Genomic DNA, 22,771 nt, shown 5'->3' with positions numbered 1-22,771 from the left:
CATTTAGAGATATTCGCTTCAGTGAACATGTCATGGCTGTATGTAGGAAAAACATACTATTATCTCTAGAGCTTGCCTGAAACAATAGGCTTGTTCCTGAAACAGATGTTTTGTGAAACCCACCGTGACAGGCTCATCATCCTGGTCTGGAGATGGGCCAGTACTTAGTTACCAGCCTCGCAAGGACACCAACATCTCTGCTGGCTGCCCGTTCATCCCACGCAGCTGAGCTCAAAGGGAGATACTCCCTGTGGCTCCTCCTTCTGGCTCGTGGGTTCTGAAGTTAAACATTTTACAAGCTTGAGAATATAGACAGAGGCAGTCAGCCAGGTGTGCCTTGGGAAAGAAGTTTCCAGGATATTGACTGAGAATGTTTTAGTGCTGTTCAGCTAGCATCTATTGAGGGCCTACTGTGCACCAGGCACTATTCTAGTTGCTTCCAGTTACATGATCTCACAGTAACCCCCAAGGGTACCTAGGTTGGACATAAGGACACTGGACTCTTACATCAGTTTCCTAGGGCTGCCTAAAAAGTTACCTCAAACTGCGTGACTTAGAACAACAGAAATGTCTTCTTTCACAGTGCTGGAGGCCAGAAGTCTGAGAGCAGGGTGTCCGCAGGGCCATGCCCCCTCCAAAGCTCTAGAGGAGAATCCTTCCTTGCCTTTTCCAGCATTTGGTAGCTCTTGGCCAGGTAACATGACTCCAGCCTCTGCCCTCGGTTCCCATGGCCTTCTCCTCTGTGTATGTCTGCATCAAATCTCCCTCTATCTCTCTCCTATAAGAACATCTGTCCCCAGATTTAGGGCTCTCTCTAAATCCAGAATGATCTTGGGATCCTTAATTATATCTGCAAAGACTCTTTTTTTCCAAAAAAGGTCACATTCACAGGTTTCAGGGGTTAGGACTTGGATATATCTTCTGGGGGACAGTGTTCAGCCCACTGCAGCCTTCCAGCTGTTACCTAATGGTTCCCCCAAAGTCACATATGGAGAAGGGGTCTCATAGGGCACGGAACCCAGGCTGGTCAGCTCTGAGCTAAGACACTCTATGGAGCTTTGATCAGGTGGCACTCATCAGGTGCTGCAAGGCAGGCCCTGGTGTCAGTGCTGAGATATAAACATGAAGTGATGGGCCCTGTTCCTAAGAAAGTTATAGGCTGGGCACGGTGGCTCATGCCTGTAATCCCAGCACTTTGGGAGTCCAAGGCAGAAGGTTTCCTTGAGCCCAGGAGTTAGAGGCCAGCCTGGACAACATAGAGAAACTCTGTCTCTACTAAAGATACCAAAACTAGGCAGGAGTGGTGAACTGTGCCTTTAGTCCCAGCTACTTGAGAGGCTGAGGCAAGAGGATTGCATGAGGCCAGGAGTTTGGGGCTGCCGTGAGCCATAATCACACCATTGCAGTCCAGCTTGTGCAACAGAGTGAAACCCTGTCTCAAAGAAAGAAAAGAAAGAAAGAAAAAGAGTTGTGGTTGAGTGGGAAGGAGCTATGCATATTGGTTCAGAGTCAGAGTTCTAAGTCCAGCCAATCCAGAATCATAAGCCGGCTTTGCCACTTCTAAGCTGGATGACCTTGGGCAAATTATGCCATTTTTCTGTGTCTCATAGGGAAACGGTCTCTTATGGAAACTGGGAATCATATGAAGAAGAATCCTAACCTCAAAGGGTCGTGGTGAGAATCAAATAAGAGGATGTGCTTAGCACACAGGTGTCCAAGCAGCGAGAGCTCCAGCATCCTGACCCCACAGCCTTTGTGGTTAACCACTGCTCACTGCTTTCCACTTGCTAGGATGCCCCAGAATATTTGAATCAGAGCCTCCAAATGGAAAACGGACAGTGGAAGACTTCTGTACAAGTCCCCAGAAACCAGGCTGAGGAAGAGGGAGAATCCGAAGCTGACTTCAGGGTTTTGAGCTTGGCTCACTGGGGTGATGAAGTTGCCAGTAACAACATGGAAATAGCAAGAAGCAGGTTCAAGGGGATGTATTATCTTCATCCTGGAACGTTGGATTACCGAGATGCAAGTGGGCTATCTGGGTGGATTTTCTGGCAGGTGTTGGACTTCCAGAAAATGATTCTTCAAAGCTACACGAGGACTAAGAGTGTGGGAAATAATTGATCCCATCTGGGCAAATTCAAGTGTTTTCCTGGGTGAAGACTTCTGGGGGCAGAGAGCAAACTAGAAAACAGAAAACAGAAGTGGGTACTCATGGGTTTGTGGTCACGGCATTCAGTTTTCTTGCCTGCAGAGTGGGTGCCTTGCTTTGTTCTTCCCAAGCTGTTGTTGAGGCTGCATTAGGTCAGGAATGGGAAATTGCCCTGTAGATTGTGCCCTGAGCTGTGGCGAGAGGCAGCAGACAGTAGCGTCAACCCCAGTCTCCCAAATGCTGAGCAGGACAGGAGAGGTACAAGTGAAGTGCCCCCTGTCTCTGTGTCATAGCTGAGAAATTAATAATTGTTCCCTCTTCTGGTTTGAACTGGCCTTTTGAATAGGCTCTAAATTTGTTCATAATTGCCAAAGGAACGACACAATAAAAACTGGAATTTCTCCATTCCCTGGCAAGGGGGGTGCATTTGCCAGTGGTTTTTTTTTGTAAAAGTGGGTGTTTTTGTACTTTTCTCCCGAGCATTGTGGAGCGTTTCTGCTGCCCCTCATCCCTGGACCACCACCTCCCACACATCCCCCTTGCCCTCTCCCTCTCCCGCGTGTGTGTTTGGCAGGACGGGGTAGGTCAGTGGATGTTGCCATGACAACTGAGAAAGAGACAGCTCTGACTTCAGCTCCGCGCTTGTTAGTAGGGAAACTAAAAGAGTCGCTTTTGTTTTCTTTCTTGGGGGTTGGGATGCCCACCACATTCCTGTTGGCATGGAAACCTTTGGCTCCCACCGGGTGAGTCGGTCAAGTGGGGTAATAATTGATTTGAATGGGTGTTGGGAGAGGCTACTGTGAAGAGGCAGGACCCTGTGGGTCTGGCCATTGTGTCGCCATAAACACACTGCTCCTTAGGGCTGTCCCTCTGGGAGGGGGAGGTGGATGGGGACGGCAGCCTCTAGACCCCAGTCTGTGCATCTGCAAATCTCTGGGATTTTTAAGCCATCTTGTATCGTGGACCAGCGATGTGTCTGGCATTCTCCTGGGTTCTTTACATTTGGTATTCCACTTCGTGCTCACTAAAGCCCTGTGGGTTTGGTGCTGTCACCACTTTGCAAATGAGGAAACTGATGCTCAGTAAGGTTAAGTACCTTCCCCAAGGTCAGTCAGCCAGGAAGTGGCAGTGTCAGAGCTGAAGCCCAGGCCTGCGTGATTCATCCTCCCTGCAGCTCTCGCCACTCTGCTGCCTGCCTTAACCTTGCGCTTGAACTTACACAGTCTCTCTAGAGTCTCCAGAGCCATCAGGGAGGCATCATCTAAAAAATGTACCTTGATAACTAAACATTTAGTACTTCTGTGAGAAACACCACTGCAAACTGTCTGGATGTCTGCTTGGGGAATTGTGCAGTGACAAGAGAAATTAAATACTTTAATGGATTTTGACAACAACTCTATGTTCAGGGAATTCAAATTGCATAAAGTAAAAAGTTAGACTTTTTCTCTGGACCTGACTGCTAATAGGCATGCCTAATTTATTAGTCAGATTCTTTAAAAAATCTAATCTTGATAGGACCAGAGTTCTTTGAGGAAAGAATGTCATGGGTCGAAGGAGGCCGCGAAATCTTCCTGGAGGAGGTGGGGCTTGAGTTGACCCAACATCCCTAGCTGCAGAGTTAGTACTCAATAAATATATGTCAAAGGAGTCATATAACAGCTACCATTTCTTTGGTACTTACGATGTTCCAACCAGGGTGCCAGCCCCTTGTTTATACCACCCCATCAAGTCCCTCAACACCTCTGGAGAGTGGATTCTATCGTCCATCTCCATTTTACAGAAGAGAACCAGAGGCTGAGTATTGATCTCCATTTCCTAAGGCCACACAATTGGTAAGGGGTGGAACCAGAATGACCGTTATTCTCATCACCATAAATTATTAATGTGGTATTTTTGCCCTAAAGATGGGTTTATAGACCCATAAGCTGAAAAATGACGCCCAAAGGTCACCCTGCCCATTTTCTTGTCTTCAGGCAAAATTACCCCAAATTCTTCATGTTCTCTGTCTTAAAGAATACTTTACTTACACAATCATGTATCAGCATGTGTTTTTTGTATCACCTATTAGATGTACAGTACTGCCAGAAGAACAAAAATGGATTCTATTTCTGGCAAACTCAGAGTCTATCAGGAAAAAGAAGCCACAAACTTAAATGACTGTGATATAAATTTAGAAAATGATAAATTCCACTATAAAGTACTGTGGGAATCAGGAAGAGAGTATTTCTGAGTGGGAAGGATCCAGGAAGGCTGTGGGCTGGTGTCTAGAGTGAGCTTGGAAGAATGAGCAGGATTTGGACTTGGCTGTCGTGAAGGGGTGGGCAGGACAGAGGCATCCCAGACACAGAGAGGTGGCACGAGGTACAGGCCATCGAGTTTGTGAATAAGAACGCCCAGGAAGACTGTGGGCAGGGAGCAGGTCAAGGACAGGGACTTAGAGGACCACCTACTACTAAGGGTCCTAGAGGAGGGAAAACAGAGGTTGGAAAAACACCACAGAGAGTGCATGGGTGCAGGAGCCAGGAAATGAGAGGTTCAGGAAGACAGTGGTCAGCTTCATTGAATGCTGTGAACAAGCAAGATTGGAGAAAGATTAAGAAGATCAGTGACAATTAGGAGGTGCATGGTCACCCTTGAGAGAACAGTATGTGGGCAGTGGAGGCAGAAGCCAGTGTTCTCGTGCTGCGGCCAGGAGGGGACCATGCACATGGAAAGACTTCCTCTAGGTCACGCTCTGCCAGGCCAGGGCGCTGACTACAGTCTTCTAGGGGTGGACCAGCAGTGAGCCCCCTTGACCTAGCCTCCCTGGAAGCCTAGGGTCTTAAGCATCAGACAGGTCCTGGTTACCAGTTGATACTGTTTAGGAGGCACGTGACTTTGAGTGTTGTGTTTAACCTGAGCTTAGCTTTGTTTGTTCAGTCACAGCAGCTAACACTTACTGAGTGCTTGCCACGTTCCAGGTATGGCTCTGAATGGATTAGCCCATTTAATTCTCACAACAATGCTGCGACATAGGGAGAGTTATTATCCCTATTATACAGATGAAGACATCAAGGCATGAGCAGGATAAGAGACTTTTCAAAGATTACCAGCTAGTTGGGAACAGGGGCAGGATTCCAACCCACTCATTCTGGCTCTGGAGGTGCATCTTAATATCTCCATCTTAAGGTCTCTGTGTGGTTTAACCAGGGTAATTAATGCCTGTTAGAGTCTCTGGCCCAAAGGAGGGGCTCACTAAGAGTGATTCCCTTTTTCCCCTGACCAAATACAAATGCAAGGTCAGGACACCCTTGTCTGAGAAAGGTCTGTGGGATCTGCCTCGTAAGGCCTCATTCGCATCAGTGCAAATCCCATACAGAATGGCACTCAAAAATTGCTTTGGAAAGTGGGATACAAATGTCATGAACTCCTGGCGTGATGCTGAGTGAAGCTGGTTTTGTGTTCAACACCTGTACCGCGGGAATTGACCGATGTGCCAGCGCAGGTAAGTGGCGAGAGCCCTCAAAGCAAATCAGTCAGTGATGAGTGAAATTAACAAAGTGTGCAGATGTCATCTGCAATCTGAAGAGGGAGTATCTGACCTGGGATATGCCTACGGAATTACTGAATAAGGGTTCATCGGGTGCTCAGTGTATAGAAGAGAATTAGGATTACCATAGAAAATGAACTGGGTTTAGATGAAATTGACTGTCAAAAAGAAATTACAGTCTAGGCAAAGAATAACTTTTACACATGGCTTCCCCCAACTTATTGTCTGTATTCACATAGCCCTATACTTTGGTACAGAACTGTGTTTAAACACTAAAATGCTTTGTGTTGCAGATAGGCACTGAGTATGTAATTAAAAGGATCCCTTCATTAGCAGAGCTGTACAATGAAAGCTCAAGTTGGCCTTTTCTGCTAATTTTGGAGGTGGTAAAACAGAGGCTAATACAACCACTGATTACAGTTGTCATATAGACAGTCTCTTGCTGTTGCCATTAGGAAATTTTTGTTCTTCCAGGGTAGAGACAGGCTTTTCCCAGGGACTGTGAGAGAACAAGAGGAAAAAAAGATTCATGCTGGCAACCAGAAGTAGAGGGGTGTAGAAATACAGGGGTAGTGCAGGGGTTTAACACGTGGGCTGTGGAGACAGACCACCCAGGTTCCAATCCCAGCCTCCTCGCTTAGGCCATTGACTTAACCTTCCCACGCTTCAGCGTCCTCAGGTGTAAACTCACGTTAGTAACTGTGACTAACTAATTGGATTGTTGTGAGAATTCACTGAAATAATGACTGTATTCATTGTCAGATATTTTTAAGCACCTACTGCGTACTGGGAGCTGTGCTGGGGCTGTAGGTATAGTCATAAACCAGGCAGTAATGGTGCCTGCCCTTCTGGGAACTTTCCGTCTAGAAAAGAAATAGGCATTAAGCAGACAGTTATGCAAATAGCCATTGGAGTGTGATAACTACTCTGAAGAAAAAATAATGTATACTGTGGGCTTAGCATTGTGCAAGATGCAGATTGAGTTCTCAAAAAATTTCTTGATGATGATGATGAAATACTAAGTCGGGGAGGTTATAGAGAAAGGAATGGTTGATTCTATCTCCAAAAGCCGTGGGAAGCATTTTGGGAAAGGTGAGAGAGAATCTTAAATTTGAAAGATGGCTGTTTTTCTAGTGGATCATTTATAAAAGGAGGGAGGGATGTGGATGTGGAGGATGAGGGAGGCAGCAACCAGGCCATGCAGACCTGGAATGCTCTCTCAGGCCTGGGGACCTTGTTCACCGTGCCTTGGGCAGTTGGTGCAGGCAGGGCTTATACTTCAAAAAATCTTTCTCTGGGTTCCAGAGAAAAGCTAAGCACCAGCCAATTCATCTACGGAAAGGCAGTGGCCAACTATTCAGTAGCTTTAAAGGGGGCTCTGAAGTCCTTCAGGCAAAAGGCATTCTCCTCCCTTTCTGCCAAGGTGGCTAGAAGAGTCTGAGCTTTTCATTCAGAATTTTGGCCACTCTGGCATTTATGCTCAATAGCTGTGTCATTTTTTTTCTTCTTTTTCTTTCTTTTTTCTTTTCTTTTTCTTTTTTTAAACACAGGGTCTTGCTCCATCTCCCAGGCTGGAGTGCAGTGGCACAGCTCACGGCTCACTGCAGACTTGTTTCCCGGGTTCAAGCAATCCTCCCACCTCAGCCTCCCAAGTAGTTAGGACCGCAGGTGCGTACCACCAGAGCTGACTAATTTTTAATTTTTTGTAGAAGTGGGGTCTCGCTATGTTGCCCAGCCTGGTCTAGATTCAGGGCTTCAAGCAGTTCTCCCACCTCAGCCTCCCAAAGTGCTAGGATTATAGGCTTGAGCCACTTAACTCTCCCTTCTTCTTCACTCTTTTTTATCTCAAAGGCTCTGGATGAGAAGTCCGGGGGCCTTAGCCTGCCTTTGCCACCCCTGTGTGATGCCTCACCTCAAGTCAGTGACTTGGCCCCACTCTCTATGTATTTCAGAAGGAAAATGACACATGGTCATTGCTAGTGCCCCTTCTAACTCAAAATCTGACTTTTTCTGTACCTGGGCAGCAGCAAAGTTCTCTCTCACGCATTACTTCATCCTCAATAGAGAAGGAGGGTGTCAGAGCAGGTACAGTGAACTCCCCAGCCAGGCCTGAGAAAATGAGGCACACGTGGAGGGTTTGTTAGGTGGTCCTGGACAGCCTGGAATGAGAGTTTCCCAAGAAGGAGCAGTGGAGGAGCGGAAAGTCAATCTAGTGTTTGGTTACATGGGATGGGGAGTGAGGCAGAAACCCCATATTCTCCTGAGGTCCTCGGGGTGAATACCAGTCTCTCCCACTGAGGGCTGGTGACTAGACAGTGGGCCCCTTGAGATGATGACACTCATGAGAGAAAGATGTCAGTGGTTATAATCCAAGTGGCAAACAGGTATTGAGGTGCTGTGTCCATCTTCTCTGCTAATCCTAACACCAGTCCTATAGGTTAGGTGCCATTATTATTCCCATTTTATATTAGAGGAAACTAAAGCTTTGAGACTGTATGACTTGCCCAAGGTCACACAGCTTGTGAGTGGCAGAGCTGGGATTTCAACCATGCCCTGATCTACCCACAAAGCCCAAACTCCAGACCCCCTGCACCACCAGCCCCACAGCCCAGGGAGGAGGAGGCGACTGGAGCACCCCTCCTTGGCCTATGTGTACAAAATGTTTCATTGCCTCTGACCGTGCTGCAGGCCCAGTGGGCAAGAGGGACAATGGCGAAGACACGCGCTCCATGCTCAGGGCCGGCAGGGCAGAGAACCCTGTTGGAAAAGAAGCTTATTGGGAGGTCTTTGTAAAATGAGCTGTCAGCTCCTTCATCCGTAAAATGAGAGGGCTGGGCGCAGTGACCCCAAAAGGCCTTTCCAGCTCTGAAATAGCATGAGTTCTGGGTCTGTGGGAGCCAGGGCATTAGAGTAAGTCCTTATGCTTGTCCTTCAGTTAATGCGTCGCCTGGCCCTGCAGGAAAATGCGCCTGCAGCAACCCCAGGCCTGGCAGCTCTGGGAATCCATCCCCAGGCAGGGAGAGACCTAGTCTGCTGTTGTCGCCATGGGGTCCTTTGTTAATTCATATAGTCGACACACATTACAAACATTACATGTCAGCAATTCTTGGGAGCCCGGAATGTAAAGTAACAGATTGACTTGTTTGGCAAACAAAACGAAGCAGCCAGATGAGCACTGGTACCCTCCCGAGAAGTCACATTGAGGACAGTTACAAGCCCCCCAAGCAGATTCATCTTGATGCTTTGTGGAAAGCCTGTTTTGAGTCCTAAACAATGTGGCCGTTTTGTGCTAGGCGTAGGCTCCATCCTCCTGCTTTAGCCTCACGCCACCCCACAGAGCCAGAAACTTCTCTCCATTGCCAGGGAGGGGAAAATGAGTTCAGTGAAGTTGTATAACTACATCAAGTGAGCATGATGGCGTGGAAAGCGCCTGGACTTTGAGGTCAAAGCTGAGCCACCTTAGGAAAGTAGGTTAACCTCTCTGAAGCTCACTTTTCTCATCAGTGAAATGGGACCATTTGTAATACCTAATTCGTAGGATTCTTGCTAGGGTCAAAGGAGATGTTACAAATAACCGGCCTGACTCTCCAGGTCCTCAGTGAGTGCCTGACAGCTCCCCGTGTATGGAGGCCGCATGATGCAGTGGTTAGAAACAAGGATGCTGGAGCCCGCCTGTCTGGGTTTCTTTCCCAGGTTCAAAACACATTGGTTCATATCCTTGTGCCTTGGTTTCCTCATCTGTAAAATGGGGATCATATTAATAATAACACCTGCTTCATAGGATTTTATCAAGATTAAATTTTTTTAAATTGCAGTTCCTGGCACATAGTATGTGCAATTAATATCATCGCTATTGTGTTTTGTTGCGTTTTGATGTTTTGTTGCTGTCGATGATATGTTACAGAGGAAAGTGATCAAGCCAGGTGGAAGTGGCCTGACCGGGGTTTGTGGGGAGGAAGGGTCATTGCGTGAAGGGGAATAGGTGGGAATAGGCTCAACGTGGGTCTAGGTCTTAGAGGGACTTGGATGGCAGACAGAGCTCTCTCGTTAAGTCCTTTCCTTGTCACTGTGGAAGCCCACGCCTCACCTGTTTTAGAGTCTATCACCTTCCCTTCAAGTTGCCTAGCATCACCCGTCAGGCAAATGGAGCCTCTGCGATAGCAGAGATTTATCAAGCAACAGAGCTGGGCTATACAGTAAAGTTTATTTTTAGTGACTTCATCCTCCAGTTCTTTAAATTAGCTGCAGGGCTAATTTAAGGGACTTCTTTGGTGCATGGTTAGCATTTTCTGCAGGAATGCCAACACGATACATGTGCGTTTGGAATCCGCTAGTGACTGAGGGGACTTCGCCTTGGCCGAACAGCAGGGACGGGGACCTGTTTATGTCCCTTTGCCATGCGGCACCACTGCCACAAGGCTCTCCTGCCAAGCCACGGGGCTGCCTGGGAACGTGATCCAGGGTGTTCTCTCCCCTTTTGTCCCACATGTTCAAGCAGTAGTTGCTAAATCTGTGTGTCTAAAGCTGCCTGTCTCTATGCCCATTACAACTGCCCTAGTTTAGGTCTCACTTTCTTTCACCTAGACCAGTGATTCTTAGACCTTAGCCCGTATCAGAATCACCCGCAGGGTTTGCTACAACAGACTGCCCAGCCCACTCAGAGTTTCTGAGTCAGTAGGTCTGGGGTGAGATCCAAGAATGTACATTACTAACAAGTTATCAGGAGGCACTGATGCTGCTGGGCTGGGGACCACACTTTCAGAATCGTTGACCTAGACCATTCCAGTAGCTTTCTAATACCATCCACCCTTCCCCTCTCAGTTCGGAATACATAGTGCTGGCAGATTTATTCGTCTCCAGCGTGGTTTTAATCTTGCCATTCCTCTCCTCAAAATCTACCACATTCTCTCATTCCCTACACTACTAAGTCCAAGCACCTTTCTCTCACATTCAGGGTCCTGTATGACCTAGACCCATGCTGGCTCACTCATCATCACACTGCCAAGTCACTGTTTATATATGGGTCTTGTTTTCCCTCACTTGGTCCCATGCTTCTGGGTGACAGGGACTGTGTCCACCTCACTCTTGTATCCGAGGCCCCTGGGGCATGTGAGTGCTTGGAACATGTTTCATGGATGAATAAATTATTGAAGGAATGTTTAACTAGAGATGGAAATTAACTCAAGCAACTTCTCAGCAACTAGAATTTGACCTTGCTAGATCTACTTCTCTGTTAATTTCTGGAACTATATACCACTTATACATAAGAAGAAAAGTCTCTGATTTGATTTAAATCAAATGATCACAAAAGCTATATAGTGAACTAAGCATGGGGTGTGTTGTGAGACAGTCCCAAGTGTAAATCCTGATTTCACTACTGATTGGGTGAGCTTGGGAAAGTATTCAGCCTCTCTGGGCCTGTTTCCTAATCTGTAAAATGGGAATCGTTTCCACCTACACTGTAGAATTGTTATGAGAAACAAATGAAGCAATATAGGTAAGTGGCTTGGAGCAATGTTAGACATGTAGTAGGCCCTTGATAAATGAACAGTTAACTTTCCAGGCAAAATAGAGATAGGTGGTTTTTCACAAGTTTCAATGAAAAATGATTCCATTGTATTTGAAAAATGCTAATAGATAAAACATTCCAGAACTCTTTCACCTATTTTAATGAATCAAGGATATAACAAATTCAGTTTTAAAAAAATTATCCCAAAGGACTAGTCAGCTTGATTTATATTTTCTTTACCAGTCACTTTTATTTCATAAGCCCGACATTTCCATTAAAATGCTATTAAGTAAAAACAGGATCTTACATATTTGTGATGGCTTGGATCTCAACATGATAATTGGAATTATCTCCAGCAAAGATACCATTTCTCATTGTTTCATTTCCTCTTACATATCAGATGTATCGTTAGTGCCTTCTTCCAGCTGAGTAAAACCACCTCCCTCTGAATTTGCGGTTGAGTCCATGAAAATGATATCTCTGGCTTTGAAGACTCTTTTCATCGTGAGGTTATTAATTGGGATTCAGGAAGGATGGGAAATGGTAGTCATCCACTAAATACAGCAACCCTTGAAAGAAATTTGAAAGGCTGTCGCTAGAAGAAAAAACAGACTCATTCTGCAAGGCTCTGGAGGCAGGAGTTGGACCCTGGAGAAAGACAATTTGCTGGTTACCATTGCGAACACCTTTCCAGTCTGAGGTGTCCCAGAGGTGGTGGAGTTCCCATCACCAGGGCAACCCCAGCTAAGCCCACGACCCTGGATGATATGCTGATCAAATGACCTTATCTATCTGGATTTAAATTTCTTCTCTAGAATCATTTCAAAAATGTTCTGGAACTAGATACTGGTGACAGTTACACAACAGTGTGAATGCCTGAAACACCACTGAACTGTCCACTTGAAAATGGTTAAAACGGTGAGCTTTATGTTCATTATTATACTATGATAAAATAATAAATGACATCGTTGGACAGAGTGATCTCCAAAGCCACTTATAGCTGTAAGATTTTATGCTTCCTGGCTAACAAGGTGAAACCCCATCTCTACTAAATATACAAAAAAGAAAAAAAAAATTAGCCAGACATAGTGGCACACGCCTGTAGTTCCAGCTACTTGGGAGGCTGAGACAAGAGATTCGCTTGAACCCGGGAGGCGGAGGTTGCAGTGAGCCGAGATCACGCCACTGCACTGCAGCCTGGGTGACAGAACAAGTCTCTGTCTCAAAAAAAAAAAAAAAAAATTATGCCTCTGAGAGGGAGCACATCACTCAGGGGACTGATCACTGACTCTATTTAGTCAAATGACAGACCATGTGACACTAGATCTCTAACTGAGGGGGAATGGTTAATTAATACAGAATATGTCATGTCATGAGAAATTACACTGATGAAAACACTCTTAATACCATGGGAAGATACTTACAATGTAGGGTATAAAAAGAAGGATTTGGAATACATGTAATGTAATCCTAACTTTATAAATATAGATAAGAAATCAAAATGTTAATAGTGTTGCTCTCAGACTTGTAGAATTACAAATGATTTTGATTCCTTTATACATTTCTCAGAATGTCTACAAAGAGCATGACTTACTATTATAATCTTTAAAAAATTCTATAAAATAAAAAATCAATAATTCCACATAGGATTTGTAACCCACAATGTGAATTATGATGTATATTTGAATAATGGGGTGGTGGGTCGGGTGCAGAGGCTCATGCCTATAATCCCAAGATATTGGGAGGCTGGCCAAGGCAGGAGGATCGCTTGAGTTCAAGACTAGCCTGATCAATGTAGCGAGACCTTATCTCTACAAAAAAAACTTAAAAATTAACCAGACTGGCCAGGCACGGTGGCTCACGCCTGTAATCCCAGCACTTTGGGAGGCTGAGGTGGGTGGATCACTTGAGGTCAGGAGTTAGAGACCAGCCTGGCCAAACCATTTAGTAGAGATGGCAAAACCCCATCTCTATAAAAATACAAAAATTAGCCAGGTGTGGTGGCACACACCTGTAATCCCAGCTACTCAGGAGGCTGAGACAAGAGAATCACTTGAACCCAGGAGGCAGAGGTTGCAGTGGCAGTGAGCCAAGATCACGCCACTACACTCCAGCCTGGGTGACAGAGCAAGACTCTGTCTCTCAAAAAAAAAAAAAAAAAAAAAAAGTCAGGCTAATGGTGGTGCACACCTGTAGTTCTAGCTACTCAGGAAGCTGAGGCAAGATTGTTTGAGCCCAGGTACCTAGGCTGAGCCTAGGCTACAGTGAGCTGTGGTTGTACCACTGCACTCCAGCCTGGGTGACAAAGTGAGCCCCTATCTCTTAAAAAAGAAGAAGAAGAAGAAGAAGAAGAAGAGAGGAGGAGGAGGAGGAGGAGGAGGAGGCGGGACTGGGCACGGTGGCTCATGCCTGTAATCGCAGCACTTTGGAAGGCTGAGGCAGGTGGATTGCTTGAGGTCAGGAGTTCAGGACCAGCCTGACCAACATGGTGAAACCCTGTCTCTACTAAAAATATAAAAAAATTAGCTGGGTGTGGTGGCGCATGCCTGTAATCCCAGCTAACTCAGGAGGCTGAGGCAGGAGAATGGCTTGAAGCCAAAAAAAAAAAAAAAAAAAGGAGAAGAAGAATTACAGTAGTAAAATAGAAAGAGCAGTGGATCAGTGGATTATAAGAACTGACTTATAATTCCAGTTCAGCTAGATGATACAGGTGCAACACCTTGCCAAGCCTCAGTTTCTTCGTCTGGAACAGGGGCATAGTCATAACAGTCTACTGTGCAAAGTGGAGTGAAGAGCAGATGACCACCTGACTGTGGATGGATCTGCCAACTGAGGAGTCCTCTGAGCTATTTTCGTTGTTATTGAGTGTATTCCAACTGTACATTTCCAAATCTTTCCTTGAATAAAAACTTACTGAGTGCTTATAAAGTCATTGATTGCCACTTACCCAGTAATTTAAGGGCTAATTTCCGGTAAAAGTGTCGCCTTTTTTCTCATCTTTCTTCCTATAACCTTAATGGGAAAACATTTCATTTCAACTGAAAAGCAACCACCTGATATTTACTGTCTTAAGTTCAAGGTGATGATGACAAAATCATTTTAGCAGAAGGAAAATTGCAGCCCTTTGGGCACATTCGCCTCTCCCAAGGAGTCAGGACTCTCCTCTTTGTGGGAGGGAGCATTTCTTTCCTTAAAACCCTCCACATTGTTGAAGTTGAAAAGAGATTTTTCCCTCATGCTTCTCTGCTTCTGCCCTCTGCCTGTCCTTGCTTTGAGACCAGCATCAAGACCCACTAAGGAGGAACCGGGAATAGGCCTTCCAGGACTTTTTATTCACACAAGGGAGTTTTTCCCAGAGGCTGGCTCCTTGGACTGGGATGAAGAGAGGACCGTTCGTACAGGGCTATCACGCATGTTGTTTCGCTATTGAATTTAAAAGCACTTACAGGTTACAAAGCATTATAACCTTGATATGTTAAGGCTTACGTTGCAAACTTTTTCAATGCAATGGATTCAATGAAACTTTCTCAAACACCAAGTATGTTTCAGGTCTTATAGAAATAGGAGTGAAATTTCTATATGAAACAGATGTAGGCCTTCAATGAGCTCACAAAACGGTGAGAGAGACTGGCATGTAAACCAGTGCAGTGCAGGCATGACAAAGCAAACAAGGAAGCAGGTCCAAGAAATAGGGATGAGGCATGAGAGAGAGGGACCTGTGTGGTCAAGAAGCCATCTCAGCTGGTTTTGAAAGTGGAACAGAAGTGTGCCAGCCAGCCACGGCCAGAGGAAAGCAGGCACAAAGACACCCAGATGGCCCAACCTGGGCACTAATGGTGTGCTTGCTTGGAAATGAAAGCACTGGGCATGAGGACATTTAATAAGGAGTAGAGAACAGGCCTTGGTACCATTAACAGCAGCACGTCTCAGTACCACGAGACGTCATCCTAACTTCCTTGGATCAGTTAGTCAACCAGGCAGCATTTACTGACCATGTATAACATGCTCGAGGTTCTGTCTCAGGAATGAACACAACAGGTGAGAGAGGGCTACGCCTGGCCCCAGATCCCGACAGGATAGGACCCAGGAGTGGGAACTGACCTGCAATTGCAGAGAGGGCCTTTGAGTGTGGAAGGGAGCTGGGTGTCCAAGGAGCATGGAGTCTCCGGTTCCAGGGCAGGCCAGTGAGTGGCAGGTTGGGAGGAGCAGCACACAAGGCTTGGGCTGGAACTGTGTGCCTGGCAGGGGGATGATTGGAAATGAGGAGGCCCGGGAAGAACTCGGGAAGGGCCTCAAGTGCCAGAATGAGCAGTACAGACTTGGGAGTCCTCAGTGGTTTTAGCAAGTAAGTGACTCAGCCAGGCTGGCCTAAAAAGAGGTGACTCAGGTGCCAGTTTGAAGGATGGATCTATGGATGGGCAAAGCCAGAGGCAGGAGGGCCTTTGCTACAGTCCAAGCAGGGGCAGAGCAGGGGTTGGCTTCAGGACTAAGGAGGCAGAACTAGCTGAGGAGGAGTCGGCATTTATTCTGTGCTTTCCTGTTGAGTAACTGGCAGATGGTTGTGACGTTCAAGGAGATGGGAGACATAGATTTGGGGCAGGGGGAATAATATATAGGTCTAAGGTGAGAAGAACATTCTGTGCTAGAGGTGGATATTTAAGAGTTATTAGCTGCTAGTTTTCTTGAATATCAAAATAATTTCTGAATATCCAGACTAAGGAATCACTACACTATAATCATTTTTTGTATGAATTCCAAATTTAAAAAAAAAAAACAGTTAAGCCAGAAATATAATTGTTTCTATTCCTAGAATTCGGTAGCTGATGCATCTTTGCAAATTGTTCGTTGAACTGTGTTCTGGCTTCTCGCCAGTCCTCAATGAGATTTTTATATTTCTTAATTATTCAATTACTACCCATAAGTAAGAGTTTGAAATCAAATCCAGACTGCTACATAACAGAGTATTCCGTTGAATCATGAATACAGTAAAGGAAAGTTTTCATACTGGGAAACCAGGATGGTGGAAGGAGGAAGGATACATTTCTAGCCGTGGCTCTGCCTTGGTTTCATGTCCTGGCTTGGCTATGTGCTAGCTGTGTGAGCTTGGGCAGGTCACTTCTCTGTGGTCAGTCTTGCTGTCTGTAAAATAAAAAATGCTGGTAATGCTGCCTCCCGAGGAGGCTGTAAATCTCAAGTAAAGGAGAAACTGAAAGGGAAAGTGTTATATCATTAATTCTTTGTGTGCTTCAGGTCTCAGCAGCTTGAAAAACCATTCGCTGGAAAGGAAGATGCTTTGGACGGCGAGCTGACCAGTGCTCCAGACTGCAACGCCAACCCCGAAGCCCACCTGCCTTCCATTTGCCTCAAGCAGGTGTTCCCCAAGTACGCAAAACAGTTCAACTACCTGCGCCTGGTGGACAGGATGGCAAATTTGTTTATCCGGTTCCTGGGCATCAAGGGGACAATGAAGTTGGGGCCAACAGGCTTTCGTACCTTCATAAGGTCAGTGAGAACAGCCCCCTCTGGCTTGGGCTTTGGGCTGGGTGGAGTCCAGTCTCACATCTGGCTGGCGGGTCTCCCTGACTGCGCTCGGGAGAATCTGTGGTGCTGGGTCAGTACCCCATTTGAGCTTGGATTAGCCTAGTGGCTGGCACATGGTAGAATCTCATTTGTTGAGTGAATTAATGAATATGATGGGTGTGACCGCATTGCAACCTTATGTTCATGATTTAAAAACAACTCTGTGCCTACCTTGAGCTGAGTCCTGAAAACGCATATTAATAATCGCCCCTTGGAGTCAGGCAGACCTTGTGCTTCTTAAACTGGGCTTCTCCCAGTGGTGCATGGCTGTGTGTTTGGCGTTCGTGAAGCCACAACAGAGAAGCAAGGCACATCTTTCCAAAGTGTCAGTTTCAGAAGGGAAAAGTTAAATAACTCAGCTGATAAATATTTTAATACATTTGTTCTAATATAAAAATAGCATGGCCATATTATAGAGTGTAATGCAAAATTTGCATGAATTTTCAAGATAAAGCATGAGATAAAGAAATTATATCTTTGCTGCAGCCTGCAAAGTTAGCAGTTGCCGCTTGGTTTCCTGAGATTACACATTAATTTCCCTCTACCCTGTGGGGGCACTTTGGGGCAATACAGCAGCATTTACTGGCTTCTAGGGCAAGTAACCCTAAGGCAAGTCAAAGAGCACCCCTAAACCTCAATAAATCCATCCTGTAAAATGAGGATAAAGCTGCCTGTGCCCTACAATAGTGTGTGTAATATTAGTTGAGATCGCATAGAAACATCTAGCGTATGGTAAGTGATCAATAAATGTCAGTTTCTTCTTACAAGATTAAAAGAATTCTATGAAATTATATGTATGTTTATATATAATTCATATAGATATATATATGGTCCTACACAGAGTCTCGATCAAAGAAGGTTCCCACTAAGTATATGTTAATCTAATAACTCTAGATCCCTTTAACAAATATGAATGGGCGACAACAGTGAATTATTCCTTAGCAATTAATTGTATCCTATACACCTCAAGGAGGATGTCTGCTAGCACTCAGTATTGCTGTTGTTTTTCCCATCAGTGATTTTAATATTTTTGTCTTGCACCTCAAAGTCATGCTTTTCACAGCTTTATTCACTAAAATAATTAGAAGTCTTGAGTGGGAAGCCACTTTTGTCAAAGACTTGTCTCCAAAGAAGTTTTATAAATTCTAACTCTAGCCCTCTGCTATTCCTGACAGGATGGTACACAGAAGTATTGGCAGGAATTTTGCCGTTTCAGTACACCTGAAGTAGTAATTTTGCATGGTGACTTTGAGAAGGGCTTTGCGTTAGTTTCAGGAGGTAGGGCAGGGTGGGGGAGGGAAGCCCAGTGGAAAGAGGACAGGCTTTGGGATCAGACAGGTCTGGCTTCAGAGCCAAGCACATTACTTCATAGCTGTGTGGCTTTGGATAAATTCCTTATCTTCTCTGCACTCAGTTCTCTCATCTGCAAAATGGGAACAATCATCCCTGCCTTGCAGGATTTGTTATGAGGTTGGGATAATATATCATAAAGCAGCTGGCCTGATGCCTAGTTCATGGGAGCTGCTTTTTCAGTGGGAGTCTTGTGGTTATTATTTCCATCAGGCAGTGGGAATTTTCAAAAAAATCAATAGGCACATGTTATTATTTGCACTGAAAAGACTGCCTGACATGATACTCTCTGACTCATTTAGGAATTACATTTGGCTTTCAGTAACAGGGAACCATCTACGAATGGCTTAAATAGGAACTTTCTTTCATATAACAGGAACTTTTGCAGTGGGGGTTCTAGAGCTCATTAATGACTCCACAGGATGATCCATGTTCCACTTTCTGTCTTTTTGCTCATCCCTCCTAAGTGCATACTTCCACTTCAGGGTTGTCTTATGGTCACAAGAGGGCTGCTCAAAATCCAGCCATCATGGTTGAGTTCCAGGCAGAAAGGGGAAGAAGGGGAGGAAGAAAAAAGGCCTCCACACATGAATTAGATCCCTTTCAAAAGCTTTCCTGGAAGCTGCATTTAGTGACTTCCACTTCCATCTTACTGGCTACCACCATCTGCGTAGGAAGCTGGGAAATAGAATTATTCTAACTGTGCATAGTGCTACCCCATTATAGTGAAAAAGAGAAGGAAGAGAACAGATAGGTAGGCAGGCTCTGCCCCTTTGTGATTCCTGGACCTTGTAACATAAGAAAGCAGCTTAGTGACAGAGGCCCCAGGTCATGAGGGCACTTAGGGCACCGTGGAAGTATTTGGGGCCCCGGAGAATTATGAGATTGAGCAAGCTGGGGTGCTTCTCTCAGCATAAGACATCTGTGGGCACAGATCTTTGGAGCAAAGGCAGAAGCTTCCTTGGCCCTCCCCAGCCTTCACACCATCACACAGAAGACTCAATTCAAGATCAGAGAACATGAAGGAATGGCTTGGCTTCATGTGGATGACATCTTGGGAGTTGCAGAGAACCCTGGTCCTGTGAGATCTGTTCTATCTCAAAGTTATGCTATAAAGGATTATGTCTGGTTTAACCTAACGACTGTTCCTGAGCACCTGGTAGCCATGGGACATTCAAAGGCAAATAATGGGACCCTGCCTGCCCTCAAAGGACTGTCAGTCTAACAGATAGCATGCAGTGAACACATCATCAAATGTAATGTTTTCGTAGAGTCACAGGGCGGTAGCTCATGGACTCCCCAGCAGGGTGGCATTCAGAGTGCTCCAAGTACAGAATGGGGGAGGCTTCCTCTGCCTGGTGGAATCAAAGCAGGCTCCCGAGAGGAGGCAGGGTTTGGACTGGTAAAAGCAGGATTTTTCCAGGCAGCAGGGAGAGCCTGAGAATGGATGGCATGCATAGCCCAAATTTAGAAGTTAGAAAGGTTTATCATCTAGGCTAAATTGCTGGTAGAAATGGAAATGCTTCCTTTTTACTTCTAATAAAGTCCTACCCATAGAGAAGAGAGAGGGGCAGATTCGAGAGAGGGGGAGATTTGAAAAATTGCTTATGGTAAGAATCACCACCTCACTTGCCTACAGGTTAGGCAGGAAGCATCAGCTATCACAGAGGGCTGGGTAGACAAGGTCGGGGAGGGAAGGCTGGCTGTGGCAAGCTGGAGAGCACATCCCGTGTCTAAAGGAAGGCTGCTCCTGGGCTCATATTACCAGAGCTTTTGATTTTTCAATCCTAAATATCTATGTAAAATCTCAATACACATCTACAAATGTTGGCAATTTGAAAAATAATTTTAAACACTGTGGATTCAGTGAAAGCATGACTGCCCATAGATACCACTGGTGGGTGACCTCTGGTATGAGAGGAAGGAGGTACCTATTAAGAGGACTGCTATGACTCTTGAAAAGAAAGCAGAATTGAGAATGGCTCTAACCAAGAAGATTCCTAAAATGCTCTCAGATTGGAACCAGGCGAGGTCAAAAATATAGCCACAAATCTGTCTCTATGTGATAGGCTTTATGATTTTTCACCCTTTTGCTCTCTATAATTAAGGGCATTTGCATGAAAACCCAGGTTTTGTGACATTAGGGACTATTAGGTCCTGCAGCCATCATTCCCAATCAGTGGCCAAACTCATTAGGGAGCCATGGTGACCGTGACACTGAGAACCACTTCTTCAAGTGGGGACCAGGCAGCCAGTGCACAGGAACTCAGACTGAGCCCCTCTCCCTGCTCCCTCCCTTCCCAACAAATGTCTGTAGTAATTAAGAATGCAGGGAGAAATGGAGAAAGCATTGCACAACGATTAACAGGTTTTTCTTTTTCTTTTCTTTTCTTTCTTTTTTTTTTTTTTGAGATGGAGTCTTGCTCTGTTGCCCAGGCTGAAGTACAGTGGTGCAATCTCTGTTCACTGCAACCTCCACCTCCCAGGTTCAAGTAATTCTCCTGTCTCAGCCTCCTGAGTAGCTGGGACTACAGGCGCCCACCACCATGCCCGGCTAATTTTTGTATTTTTAGTAGAGATGGGGTTTCACCATATTGGTCAGGCTGGTCTTGAACTCCTGACCTCAGGTGATCCACCCGCCTCAGCCTCCCAAAGTGCTGGGATTACAGGCATGAACCACTGCACCCGGCCGGATTTTTCTTTTTCAAATGTGCCAGAAAATCCTAACAGCAACCTAATCATAAAAGATGATATTCTCTGCCTTTAGATTTCTCTAAGTATGTTCAGTCTTGCCGGCTAAATTTAACAGCACGCATTTTCTCTTGCTAACAACCCTTCTCTCTCTCTGTTCCACTTTGGTTTAAATTTTGCTTCATTATGAATTAATAATATTAATGCCATATGTTAAATCGAACCAAGTGCCCTTCTCAGGAGCACTTTGAAAAAGACATATTCACTGGCGAGATATACACTCCTCTCAGCGCTCCCACGCAAATGGCAGAAGTTGAACTTGCTTTTCATCTGTTCTACCCACTCTCTCTCTCCAAGCTCCTTGAAGAGAACTAGAGGGAAGAAAATAATAAACACTCCAATTGAATTTATTTCCAGTGTCCATCTCTCATAATGTGCTGCATAGATCAGCAGTTTTCGGAGTGAATTATGCTAATGCCAGTCTGGCCATATTCTATTTTTCTTTTTCACCAAGAAATAAGAAATAATGAACTGTTCTTCTCTCGTCTAGACTTAACTCTCTCTAACCAGCTTTTCATGTCACTTCCTCAGGAGGCACATAATAGTAGTGCATATTACCATGAATTAAGTGCCTCTTTTCTTCTTTCTTTTTTAACATTTTATTTTATAATAATTGCTGGGGTGTGAAGCCACCTTTTTCCCCGAGAAATAGACATTATCTGATTGATTCTTCAGCTTGACAGCTTTCTTGGAGGGAGATGCATTTTTGTCATTCTCCTTCCATTGGATTACTGATTTGGGGGGCATCTATGTAATTCACGAAGGAAAATTTTTACAAATGTGTCCCACATCAGAATTGGACATCAGTTTGCGTATGCTGCATTTTTCGTGATGGCAGCCCAGAAATTAAGCAGTTTGCCAAAACCAGGTTTATTTCTAGGAAATGCAGCATCTTCTCTGTATCGTGAGCATTTGCTTCATGTGAGGTTCTCCCACTGGGTGGCTTCTGATCCTGGGCCTCCTTTTGAATGAGGGGAAGGTTTTTCTTCCTTTCCCCTTTCCCCTTCCACTCCCTTTTATCATAAGGAGGTATTAACATGCTTCGTAATGGGTAGCTGCGGGGGGCTTTATTCTCTGAGAGGCAACGTGGTGTGTTAGAATGTTCTAGAATAGGAGCGTAAGGGGCCTTGCTTCCCCCTCTGTCATTAACTCCTCAGTGACTTTGATAATCTCCCCTGCTTCTGTGACAATCCCTTTCCAGCAATATTGCATGCCTTGGATGTCAATGGCCTTTCGAAGTCATACATTTTAAACTGGAGTTGTCTTCTTGCCCCCTTAGATGTTTAGGTAGTGTGGTTTTTAAAAAATAAATATTGATCATTTGTTAGCTTTCACATTATAGAATCCTCTCCAGAAGAAAAAAAAAGCTTCTTTTCTGCACAGAGAAGGATGAACACAAAAGAAATTCTATAAATAGGATTTTATGGAGTGGAAAAAGTTGGTTCCTAAATTTCCCATGAGATGTCAGTAGTTGTTAAGAGGAAATGAGAATGATCATTTCAAATATTTCTATACTTGGACTCCTAATGAACTTAAATGATTTGTGATTCTCTCCCATCCTATGTGCCCAAATTCCTTTGATTCTGGAAAACAAAAACAAAAACAAAAACAGACTATTTCTTCAAACTGGTTCTACATCAGAGAGGAAGGATGGGAACTGCCATTTGCCACTTCCCCATGTGTGCCAGGCACTGAGCTAGTCCTTAAAAGATCCTTGTACGGTGAGCAGCCTTTTTCTTACTGTGCAAATCGAAATTTCCTAATGTAGACGCAGAGAGCTTCCATGACCTGCACAAGGTTACGCAGCAAAACCAAGGTTCAAACTCATGTGCATTTGACTCCAAAGCTCATCTTTTCCATGTACATTTCTAACCTATCCTTTCCTAGAAACTTTTCTGGCTTC

The 22,771-nt window shown here is 45.0% G+C and overlaps 1 protein-coding gene across 8 annotated transcripts in view; it reads left to right on the top strand.

Moving 5' to 3' along the window:
* TTLL11 (tubulin tyrosine ligase like 11) overlaps nt 1–22,771 on the top strand; it is a 277,635-nt gene that overhangs the window by 206,123 nt on the left and 48,741 nt on the right. For 6 of the 8 annotated variants that reach the window (XR_001746188.2, XM_047422825.1, NM_001139442.2 and 3 more), the window contains one exon: nt 16,438–16,689. Coding sequence is in view for 5 of the 8 variants with exons in the window: in XM_047422825.1 (XP_047278781.1) it covers nt 16,438–16,689 (252 nt within the window). In the remaining 3 variants the exon portion in view is untranslated. Of the gene's footprint in view, nt 1–1,610; nt 2,566–16,437; nt 16,690–22,771 lie in introns of those variants that run through there. The other 2 variants (XR_929721.4, NR_171569.1) reach the window with 2 other exon arrangements.

The sequence above is a fragment of the Homo sapiens genome, chromosome 9, assembly GCF_000001405.40.
Source record: "Homo sapiens chromosome 9, GRCh38.p14 Primary Assembly".
Classification (NCBI taxonomy): Eukaryota; Metazoa; Chordata; class Mammalia; order Primates; family Hominidae; genus Homo; species Homo sapiens.
Note: the sequence above shows the minus strand (reverse complement) of the source record. Positions and strands in the feature narration are given on the sequence as shown.